This window comes from Homo sapiens, chromosome 3, assembly GCF_000001405.40.
Source record: "Homo sapiens chromosome 3, GRCh38.p14 Primary Assembly".
Classification (NCBI taxonomy): Eukaryota; Metazoa; Chordata; class Mammalia; order Primates; family Hominidae; genus Homo; species Homo sapiens.
This window is the reverse complement of record NC_000003.12, coordinates 17287470-17299883: the sequence shown is the minus strand read 5'-3', so window position 1 is coordinate 17299883 and position 12414 is coordinate 17287470. Positions and strand designations below refer to the sequence as shown.

Here is a 12414-nt window from a genome sequence, read left to right as displayed (position 1 = left end):
TTTTTTTTTTTTTTTTTTTTTTTTTGAGACGGAGTCTCGCTCTGTCGTCCAGGCTGGAGTGCAGTGGCACAATCTCGGCTCACTGCAAGCTCCGCCTCCCGGGTTCACGCCATTCTCCTGCCTCAGCCTCCTGAATAGCTGGGACTACAGGCGCCCGCCACCACATCCAGCTAATTTTTTTGTATTTTTAGTAGAGACGGGGTTTCACCATGTTAGCCAGGATGGTCTCCATCTCCTGACCTTGTGATCCGCCCATCTCGCCCTCTCAAAGTGCTGGGATTACAGGCGTGAGCCACCGCACCCGGCCAGAATGACACATTTTTTACACTTGATAAACCTGCATTGATACAGCATTATTGCCCAAAGTTCATAGTTTTACATTAGGGTTCACTCTTGTGTGTTTGGACCAATGTATAATGACATGTATCCATCATTATAGTATCATACATACAGCAGTCCCTCCTTATCTGCAGTTTAAGTTTCCACAATTTCAGTTATCTGATACCAACCAAGATTCAAAAATATTAAATGGAAAATTCCAAAAATAAAAAAACCTCCTAAGTTTTAAATTGTATCCCATTCTGAGTAGCATGATGAAATCTGTAGCCACCCCACTCTGTTCTGCCCTGGACATGAATCTTCCCTTGTCCAGCATATCCACACCACATAAGCTGCCTGCCCATTTAGCCACTTAATAGCAATCTTGATTATCAAAGCAACTGTTGTTGGTATCACAGTGCTTGTGTTCAAGTAACCCTTGTTTTACTTAAAGCCCTAAAGCTCAAGAGTAGCGATGCTGGCATATTTTTATGATTGTTCTATTTTATTATTAGGTATTGTTGCTAATCTTTTACCATAATTTATAAATTGCCTAACTTATAAATTAAACTTTTATCATAGGTATGTATGTATAGAAAAAAGCATAGTACGTATAGGGCTGAATACTATTTGAGGTTTCAGGTATCCACTGGGGGTCTCAGAACACATCCTAAAAATCCTCTGTGTTCTGCCTATTCATCCCCTGTCTCCCTCTAATTCCTGGAAACTACTGATCTTTTTACTGTCACAATGTCATATAGTCAGATGAATGAAGTCTGTATCCTTTTCAGATTGGCTTTTTTTCCTTAGCAATATGCAGTTAAGTTTCCTCTTGAGTCTTTTCATGGCTTGATGGCACATTTATTTTTAATGCTGACTAATATTCCATTTTCTAGATACAATACAGATTGTTTATTAATTCACCTACTGAAGGACATCTTGGTGACTCCCTCATATACAAGTAAGACCTCCACCCACTTTCTCCTTCCATACATCCCATTTCTCCTTATCACCCCTGCCATAGGAGCCACTCAGTGTCTGCCTTTGTTTGCTTCCACATATTGTTGGCCGACACCTCACTGACCCTAAAGTCTTCCATTTTAGCAATTATCACAGCCCTTAGTATGTATCATTATTATCAGCCCTACCCTAGGTTGCAGTTAATTTTATGTTTCTCTTCCACTGGAATGTGAGAGAAAGTTGAGATTTTAAAAATTCTTTTCATGTCTTTAGAACTTAACTCAGCATTTTAAATAAAACAGGTGTTTAGTATAAATATTAAATGAATGAATACAGTCCAACACAAAAAAAAGATATTGTCAGCACTTCTTAAATACCTTGTGTACTTCAGCCATTTTTACTGACAATGTATATTTCTGATTAAGGCACTAAAAATCACAAAACACAATGAAATAAAGTGTATGTATGTCTATTTTCAGATATAACTAATTCCCAACCTATGGTTTTCCTTCATTTCAATTTAAAATTAAGAGAGTCAAATGTATGAATCAGGCTTACTGATTATTTTCTAAATCTTAATCCCCACCAATTTTTTCAGGCTTCATTTCCATGACATTTTACAGATGCGGAGGTAGAACTTGGGCTTTGATTCTGAGTACTTACCTTTAATTACTACAATAGTGTTCACAGTTTGCATTAAAAGACTTTGTTTTGGCGAGGTGTAGTGGCTCATCATGCCTGTAATCCCAGCACTTTGGGAGGCCAAGGCAGCAGGATCACTGGAGCCCAGGAGTTCAAGACCAGCCTGGGCAACGTAGTGGGACCCCCGTCTCAATTAAAAAAAAAAAAAAAAGAATTAGCCAGGCATGATGGCACACGCCTATAGTCCCAGCCACTAGGAAGGCTGAGGTGGGAGGATCACTTAAGCCCAGGAGGTCAAGGCTTCATTGAGTTGTGATCATGCTACTGGACTATAGCCTGGGTTGACAAGAATGAGATGTGTCTCCAAAAAAGAAATTTTTTTTTTTTTTTTTAGGAGTCTCGCTCTGTCACCCAGGCTGGAGTGCGGTGGTGTGATCTGGGCTCACTGCAACCTCCACTTCCCGGGTCCAAGTGATTCTCCTGCGTCAGCCTCCCGAGTAGCTGGGATTACAGGCGCCCACCACCATGCCCAGCTCTTTTTTTGTATTTTTAGTAGAGACAGGATTTTACCGTGTTAGCCAGGATGGTCTCAATCTCCTGACCTCATGATCCGCCCACCTTGGCCTTCCAAAGTTCTGGGATTACAGGCGTGAGCCACCACGCCTAGCCAAGAAAATTGTTTTTACGCTATATCATCTCATTTGATTTCCTCAGTCGATAAGGAGTTAGAGAAGGTGGAGAAAACAGAAGCCTGTGCACTTAATTGATATCCTTCAAAGTTCATAGTACAAACGGCATTCCTGGAGCTAACATGCCGTCATTCTGACTTTTCTGATACAGTGATCTTTCTCTGCTCACACACTAGCCACTGGCAATTCTGCACTTTTATACTTGCTTACTTACTGCCTTCCAGTTGGCAGCACTATTTATTTAAACATAGAAATTACTGAGTAAAGATCTCTTATGTTATTGCTTGATCTCTTATTAAATGAGATTCTGTTTAAAGTGTATTAAGTGGGAAAAGTAACAATTGTTTAAATCTTTTTCCAAGCCCAAACAGTGAACTACTCTGAATTTGAGATTGTCCTCTTTCCTAAAAGTGAAATTAAAAGTCTTATATTATTCTGCACAAAATCTGCTAGAATAATAAGGACTTACCAAAGAGTATCCAAGTGTTTACATAAGAGTATGTGTTGGTCTTAGGTTTCAAGGATGGTTGTTGTAGTGATTGAATGGTGCTCAAAGAGGCAGTTGTCACAAAGCCAACTGAGGAAGAAAACCCAGAAAGACAAAATCTTACAAGGGTTTTAAACACTAGACTTAAACCACTTTTTGTGGGGGATATGACTGTGTTTTATTTTTGGCTTTCTCCAAAACTGAAGAGAGTAAAATTTTGTTGTTTCTATTTATGTTTTGTACCCCAGCCTCCCACTGACCACTTGTTTTCTGGTCCATTGGCAATCACATTTTGTTTCTTGCCATTTGTACTTAGGAAAGTCAAAATAGTAAGGGCCTTTAAATAAAGGTGAAGATGCTGCAGGCAGTAATTATGTGTTTTTTCCTGCATGTAGTAGGCTCTCAACAAATATTTTTTTCAGAGAGCATTACATTTATTGAATGTTTTCTCTATGCCAGGTGTCTGGCAAGGCACTTTCATTGCACATTGGCTTTGTTTTCAGTCAAGTACAATTAACTATGAGAAAAACTTTTTCCTTTTTTAAAAGAAAGAAGGTTTTCTTTTTTGTTAGCTCATTTTATTTTATACTTAATCCATGATTATTTGTTTTTATATGCCTTTTTATAGCTTTTTAGAAACAAGAATTTATGCCTATTTCTAAATATTTGCTATTCTTGGCCTTTGACACTGAGGACTTTTTTCAGTTTGTACCGATACCCCTGTCATGAACTTGCTAAGAATGTAGGAAAGTATAAGACACAGTGGTGTGTGAGGCTTTCAGTCTACACAGACCCAGGTTCAGCCCTGTCTTTGCCCTTCAGGATCTCTGTGGCCTTGGCTGTGCTGTTACCTACTCTGCACTATCTCAGCTATAATAGAGAGTCAATGATAATGCTTTCCTTAGGGGGAATTAGGAGGACTCATGAGACCTTTATAAAATGTATGACTAGTTTTCAGGCATATTATAGGTACTTGATAAGTGATATTTTTGGGGAGTCGGGCAAGAAATTAAAGAAAGTCTGTATAGAGTTTCGTGTTTTGTGGTAGTTTTCATTCTGTTTTATTATGCTGAGAAAGAAAGTATATCTCAATATGAACTTAAATAATTTGAAAAAGTATTGCATGTATTTACAAACATTACAATTGTAAGTGTGGTTAGTTTTGAATTATGTGTAAGTTATTGATCCACATTGCTTTAAACTTTCTCAAAACAGTTACTTTTTCTGCATATCATTACTGATTTCACTTTTGGTTTGTTTGTACCTGCTGGAGAAAGTAAACCATCTCTTCAGACCACTCCAGAATAGTTGTGGGGCACATAAAGGTTCAGACAGAGAAGTCAGCTCTGCCTCATATGGAGGTAATGCTATTCATCAAGGATGAATTGAGCAAGATGGGGAAATGTACCATATAGCAGCTGGCCCACTCTTACAGAAACCCTGTAGATAGAGTAAGCAGGATTGTCTCTATTTTATAAATGGGAGGAATAAAGTTTCAGTGAAGTTGGGCAGCTTGCCTAAATTCACCATATTATAAGTGACTAGGCCAGTGATCTAATCTAGTTCTCATTCCAAATCCATTATCTTTTCTTAGGTACTACTTACCTTTGCTTTTACCTTCCCTAAATCAACTCTTTAGAATGTGCCTTCACTATTTTGTTTTTAAAGCATAAACATACTTCATTTTACATGTAGGTAGATAACAAAACTCAATAATTTTTCTTAATCTTTCACTTCTTACTTCATGTCTCTGCCCTGCTTTGATAGAATAAATATTGGGAAAAGAACACTATTACAGATTAGTTTTTCATGTTCAAAAAAAGTTTACTGTGAAGTTCAAAACTAAATTCTTATTGTGTCAGATCCTTACTAGTTTGTTTTTAAATCAGCTTGTGTAATTCTTTTCTACCTACTTTAAACTGGCTGTAGTTATTCAAAAGGAGATTTAATACTTAGCATATCTAATTGCAAATTAAGGGTATTTCTAAAAGTGTGGATTTTCATTAGCAAATTAGAGATACCATTATCTGAAAGCAGTGAACTTATTTGCTGTTATATTCCTAGTGCAGGTGCCTAGCATAGTCTCTGGATATCTGGCATTTAGTAGATGCTCAGGAAATGCTCATTGCATGCAGTGACTGGATGGATGGATAGAAAGATGAAAGAATGTTAGCTTCCTCATTTGTTTTGCAAGTAGAATATTAATACATTATTTGGCTTCCCTTATATATTTTATAGCTTCTGATAGCTTCAATAGTTTTAACAAGTTATGAAAACAGGATTATTGTTCTGGTCTCTATCTATCTATATGTTTATATCTAAATCAGTCTGTTCTACAGGAGTTCAAGACCAGCCTGGCAACATAGCAAGAGCTTGTCTCTTCAAAAAACTTAAAAATTAGCCAGGCATGGCAGTATGCTTCTCTAGTCCGTAATAGCTACTCCAGAGGCTGGGGCAGGAGGATTGCATGAGCCCAGGAGTTTCAGACTGCAGTGAGCTGTGATCATGCCACTGCACTCTAGCCTGGGTGACAGAGCAAGACCCTGTCTCTGAAAACACATAGTAAATAAATAAATAAATAAATAAATAAATGATTAGTCAATCAATCAAGCTTTTCTGGAGATTGGTTTATGCTGATCTTCTAGTATACTTAAAACTGCTTCACTAGAGTAGTAGTAATACTTTACAATATGCATCCATTATGTCTCTTGATTTTCAAAACAATGGCCTTTCAAAACAAATGTCTTGTAATAGAGTACAGACTCTGCAGCTAGACTTTTGGGTTTCCAATCTTGCCCCTCTAGGGAATCACTGGTAACTTGTACAAGTGACTTAACTTCTCCAAGTATCAATTATTGCATCTGTAAAACAAAGATAATAATTGTACCTTTATAAGAATGTCATAGAAATTAATTGAGATAATGTAGGTAAAGTTCTTAGCATGTGGCCTGGCTACAGAAAGCTTTAATAATTCACTGTTATCTTAGTTATATTAGTAGTAATAGCTGCTTGATATTACACATCTGCCCTTCTGGGCTGTAATTTTCTCCAGAGTAAGGACTCAGTTTTGTTTATCTCTACGTGCTCCCCTAGCATAGGGCCTGTCATGAATGAGGTACTCTGAATAATTATTGGATTGAATAAAGCAGTCAAATAAATTTTTTCAATCAAAAAGTTGTTTTCCCAGTGACTAAACTTAAGCTCACAGAGGTTACCTGAACTGGTTTTAAACAGCTGCTATTAATCAGTCTCATAGATTATATCATTTAATCTTTAGGCAACTTGATGAAAGGTTCAAATAAAGCCCCAGGATTCAAACCTACATCTGTGAGTCATGAGATCAAAACTTTTCCACAAAATTTTCCTGCCTCTTTACAAAATATATAAGAATTCTTTCTTGGTCAATTACTAATAGATAATTACTTTTTGAGTTATAAGGTGAATTGATTAAGTCTTAATTACTTGCTAGATCTCAAAGAAATCTGTACATAAAACCATTATACTGTTCTCAGTATCTTAGCTTTTTGAATTTCTGGAGAAAAAAAGGACAGCAGGTAACTGAAGGTAAATATGAAAACATGAACAAATGAGAGTCTGAACAGACACAGAAAGGGTAGGATAAGTGAGTGCTTTACAAATGAAAGCAGATGTATGAAATTACAAGCTGTCATAGCAGCAATGAAAATGAAGATGATAAAGTGATTCCTTACATAGATTATAATTATTCATTTTGCCCAGTCCTGTCTCCTTTCCCCATAGTGCTTATAGGAGGGGGAGAAGTAGGAAGTTATAGCAAGAAATGGTATTCCAACAGCAGAAGAAAAAATAATCTAAAAATCAAAGATATTTCTAATTATAAATGTTTGGTTTTTGATTTGTGTTGTTTCTATTGAATCACAGTTGTTTTCTTATGGAACATTTTTCAAGTAACTGATTAGTGAAAAAACTTCACTTGCAACCACAGAAGTTAAAACTGTAAAGTTTCTTCACAGTCAGTGCTGTGGAGGCAGTCAGTGTGGTTCATAAAGCAAGCATTGTTAATGGGCCTGACTCTGACAGCAGTGGCAGATAAGATTGTCAAGAAGTAAAGTAGTCTACATAGACCTGCCTGAAAAGATGTGTTTAATAATTACACCCATAATTAGGTTGATTTGAAAAAAAAAATTAAATGACAGGCTACAGAACACATTTAGACTTAACCTATGACAATTATGACACTTTTCCTCCAAGAAATGCTGCTTAGGTATTCTCTCCCTAAATCTCTTGTTACCTTTAGAAAAACAAATAATTAGAAGAAATTCTACTTTTTTAAATTTTGAGTTACGTAATGTTTACCTATACAAAAGAAAATGTAACAAGTTGTAATGCATAATAAGGTAAATATTATTTCATGAAAATCTTAAACTGGTTCTTTTCCATTCATATGGCTTTTATTACTAATTTCTAAGTAGAAAAACAGGAGACATTTAAACATAGCCATATAAATGGCAATAAATATGCACGGTTCTGAGAATTTATGTTGCAGATGTACAAATATCTGTATGTGAAGTTCTTCTTTCCAGCACCCCCTGAGGTTAAGTGCTAATACATTAGATAGCAGTTAACAATACAATGTGTTCCTTCAAAGGCAATTTGGTAAAGATCCCTTCTTCCTACTCCCTTTTATCAAATCAGTTGAGTTATTGGTTTGCTTTCATTGACTCTTAAGTTGTTAGATTTTATATTCTCAGCAATGCAGAATATCTTAAATAGTATTGCATCTGAATTATTTTTTCTTCTTATTTAGTGATCTCTAGTAACTACCAGACCTGTCTCGGCCTTCTGATGCATTACCCATTCATCGGGGATGTACACTCACTGATTCTTAAGGCTCTGTTCCTTAGAGATCCAAAGGTAAGCTTCCCCAGTAGGGTATGCATAATTTTAAGTTGGGTGAAAAATAGGCTTCTCTGTGTAGAGTCTAAGAATTCCAAATGTGGAATTTGCCTAATGGTAGATGAATTGCCTAATGGTAGCATTTGCCTAAAGTTGTAGGCCAAAACCCATATACCTCATTGGCCAGCAACTCAACAGGCAAATTAGGTAGACCTTGCCATGAGAAACTGGAACACATGTCTCTTTTCCCACAGAAGGTTATTCTATGCTTTTCCCTTCCTCACAAGTCAAGGAAATAGTTGAGGAACTACCTCTCCTTACAGCCAAACTGTATTGTCATTGGTACCCCACACAGGGGTTGATTTATCCAAGTAGAACCTTGGGGGCCATATGAAGATCAAGAAAGTAGCTTTATACAAAGGACCAGTTCTATAAGACTGGATACAATGAAACACTAAATTATTTCATATTATGATATGTATTAATATTTCTTATTTGGGCGGTTAAGAGTAATCTAATAAAATAAAGATTTAAACAGACTTTAACACTGATTTCTCTATTTGAGCGTAAAGCAATTCACCAAAATTTTCTTTACACTTCAGAGAAAAAGTGTGCTCTTTTACAACTAATGTTATATTTCTTGAAAATAAGAACATTTAATGATCTAAAAAAATCTGTGAATCCTTGCTACTTTTGAGCCAAACAAAAATATTGGAAGAAGTATGAGAGAGAAAGCTTCAAACACGAATATCAGAATGCCAGGCATTGGATGGTAATCCCAGCCTTTGGCTCTTTGGCAACCCTCCCAACAGTCATGTTGGCAGTTGTCGAACTGTCTCTGAGTCAGTCAGTCTGTCTGTGGGTTCCATTGCCAAAGCTCTGTCTGATCAACTTGGGCCTCCAAGTTTAATGTAAATTTAGATTCTAAAGGATTTCTGTCCTTTCCTTGGTTGTTGACTTCAACCTTTTAGTATATCCTTTATTCTTTGATTGATTTAAAAGAATTCACTTCCTTATGCCTATATCTGTTCTGTAAATTTATGAACTTTCATATCATTTCTCTTACACAAAGCAGTTTCATTAAGCATCAGAAATATAATCCATTATTTCTCCGATGTATAAGGAAGCATACTTTTTTCTGGTAAGGCTTATGAATATGACTATGAAAATTGAAAGTTCCATATTTATATTTTATGTACATATGTATTTGTAAGTTGTATGACTATATACTCCCTACACCCCCAAAAAAACCCCACAAGATGACAAAATATCTGTCAAATAAGACTAACGAATGAGGTTACTGGTCAATGAGGTATGAGTTTTGATCTACAGACTTAGGGCAAATTCTATCAGCTTAGCATTAGGAATTTTTAGAATCATACAGAGTGAAAAACATTGCTAAAATAGCAATTTGAAATTTCTACTTGCATGATTTGTTTTAATTGAAGAAAGAAATGAATATGTTATCAAAACCTATCGATCTTGGTAATTTTTCCCTAGCTAAATATGGTTGATGTTTCTGTGAATCACTCACTCATCCAGCTTCAGAATTCTTTATTCTAAGTTCATCAGTGTTTATTAGTGGAACCTAAATGCCCTTTCATGTTAGTATGATTTTAATGGAGTACTTTTTATCTCAATAAAGTCGTGTACATATAATGAAGCAAATTCTATAAGCATTAAAATATAGATTCTTTAAGGTTTAAGAGAAAAAAATAATAGTGTATCCAAAAAAGGGAATTCCCCACCTTCACATTCAGAGTCTTACCAAGTAAAAACATGATCAGTACAATGACCTTAAACTGATATTCCTGGGACATAATAAATTGGGCATGATGAGGGAGTCATATTTAAAAGGCTCAGTAGAATAAGTTCATGGAATGATGATATCTATAGGAAAAGTAAAGAAAGCTGTGTAGCCTTTGAAAAGGGGCTTTCAGATGGCTAACCCTGCAAAATGGTAGATATAGTTAAGTGTATATGTGGCTGACTCATTAACATCATTTTACAGATTTTAAGTAGTAACTAAAGTCACTTGACACGTGTGTTAATATGGGCCTGTGGCAGTGTAGTGTTCCGTAAGGAACCTGAGTTAGGAATTGGGACCTTGGGTCAAACCTTGGCTCTGCCACCAACATCTTCATTATTTTGGAAAAATCATGCTTGCTGAGCCTTGGGCTTCTCTTTTGTAATATTTGGAGGTTGAATTAAATTGTCTCTGATGACCTGTGTAAGCAGAACATCCTTTGTCTTTGAAGAACTGACTTTTTTTTTTTTTTTGAGATGGAGTCTCGCACTGTCACCAGGCTGGAGTGCAGAGGTGTGGTCTCGGCTCACTGCAACCTCCGCCTCCCAGGTTCAAGCGATTCTCCTGCCTCACCCTCCTGAGTAGCTGGGACTACAGGTGTCCACCATCACACCCGGCTAATTTTTGTATTTTTAGTAGATATGGGGTTTCACTATGTTGGCCAGGATGGTCAAGAACTGACTTTGAATTGACGCAGGATCTCTCTCAGTCACTCTGCCAGCTGGGGACCTCCACAGAAGGCAACATTCCCACCCAGGGCCTCACTCAGCCCTGGGCCTGCCGCAGGAGGCACTACATCCACTCGGCCCGCCATACCATGCCTGGTTTGCACACCAGCCCGGATCCTGTGGCTGCTGTGACTGTGTGCTCAGCTGCCAATGGGAGGGGGTGCATGGGCAAGCGAGTGCAGGGTCTGGCCAGCTGTTCTGAGTGCCAGCACAGACGCAGACTCCATGCGGGGCTTGCAGCTGGACCAGGTGTGTTGCAAGCCACTCCCATGGTAGACTCTGGCATCCAGATAAGGGGAACACAGTGGTGCCCAGGCAGGGGTGCCCACAACCCCGAAGCCCCAGAGGGGATGTTACAGCATGCTGATGAGCTCATTTAGTCCTGTTGTCCGCAACCCAGTGGACTGCAGCGTGTTAACAGCTCTGTCAGTCCCTTGCCTCACTCTGGCTCATGGCTCCGGGGCTGGTTCGGCCTTGCTGCTGCTTCCCATCACAAGGGGTCGCAACCCTCTGCCAGCGGAGGGTAGAGGACCACAGTTGTTACAGCCTTTGGTGTACCCATGTTCAGTGGATCCCTACTTCTGGTCCTGCATCCAAGAACAAGATCATGCTGACAATTGAAGGGTGAGGAGGGTGGAGAAATATCTTATTGAGTGATGAAATAGCTCTCACTGGAGAGGGGATGCAAGGGTGGTCCTCTACCCGAAGTTGGGTGGTTTCTCTCCATGTGGCTAGGTCCGGAGCTTTTATGGGCTCAGAATGGGGAGTGTGTGCTGACTGGTTTGTGAGTATGCAAAAAATGGCTAAAACAAAGGCACCACTTAGAGGTGGGCACAACAGTGTAAAAAACCAATTAGGAAAGGTTAGGTGTATGTAAAATAGGTGAAGGGTGGGGATCAATCAGAAAAGCATGGCAAACAGGAAGACGGGTTTTCAAACCAGTCCATGGATTTACCCCGGGACTTGTAGCTAGGCTTTAAACTGTCTTTGGCTGGAAGGTCAGGTTTCATCAGGGACCCATCCCTGTCTACTTAGGATTCATCTGCTTTCTGCCACCATTACAATGAACTAACGAGGTCCAACCCAGTGCTGCAAAAGTAAAGTGAGAAAAACAGCAAGTTTATCTATTCTATAGAAATCCACAAGTGGACGGGGTTTTCAGTGTTGTTAATGTCAATTATAAAGTCATAAAAGAGGCTATTTATGCTAAGGGGGAAAAAAAGAGGGAAAGATGGTACTAGTACACCTGCCTATAGCCTCTAAAAATTCAGACATCATAGTGCTTTAAATGTTTTCTATTAATAGCAACAGTGAAACACTAAAAATACTGTAATCATTCCTGAATCACATAGATCAGAGTAAGTATATAAACATACAATTCTCAATGAAATTAACTAGTAGAAAGATGAGATTTGAGACATGAAAGCATTCTTTCCCATTTCCTAGTTTCATATGATAGTAGTGTTGAATGCTGCTAACAGGTTCAATAAAATCAAACAAGGAGCTCTGAGCCTTAGTAGGTTCATTGTAAACCTTCAGAAAAGCGCTTTATCCTACCATCATCCCTAAATTGCTCAGTGGAGAATACATTCTGCAAGTATAGCTTGAGACACAAGGTTCTAATTATTTTATATCAGAGATAGCCTTTACTGTGGAAAGATTTCTTATTTGAATAGATAGAAAAAAGTAGGCCTAAAAACTATAATAATAGGATCATACTCCTTCATAGTTTTCCAAGCACTCTGACATTAATCAACAACCCTATGAGGTAGGCAGAGCAGGTTATCTTTCCTCACTTTTTTCAGTAGGGAGGAGGTTAAGTTTATGTGGCTTTCCCAAGGTCAAAAAGCTTATAAGCTCCCAAGCTAGCTAGAGTGGCATCATGACTGTTCTATCTATTCATTCCCT

General features: G+C 37.9%; 1 protein-coding gene across 65 annotated transcripts in view; it reads left to right on the top strand.

Moving 5' to 3' along the window:
* Positions 1 to 12414, top strand: part of TBC1D5 (TBC1 domain family member 5) — a 585470-nt gene that overhangs the window by 442748 nt on the left and 130308 nt on the right. For all 65 annotated transcript variants that reach the window (XM_047449296.1, XM_011534283.4, XM_047449314.1 and 62 more), the window contains one exon: positions 7883 to 7989. In XM_047449296.1, coding sequence (XP_047305252.1) covers positions 7883 to 7989 — 107 coding nt within the window. The remainder of the gene's footprint in view (positions 1 to 7882; positions 7990 to 12414) is intronic.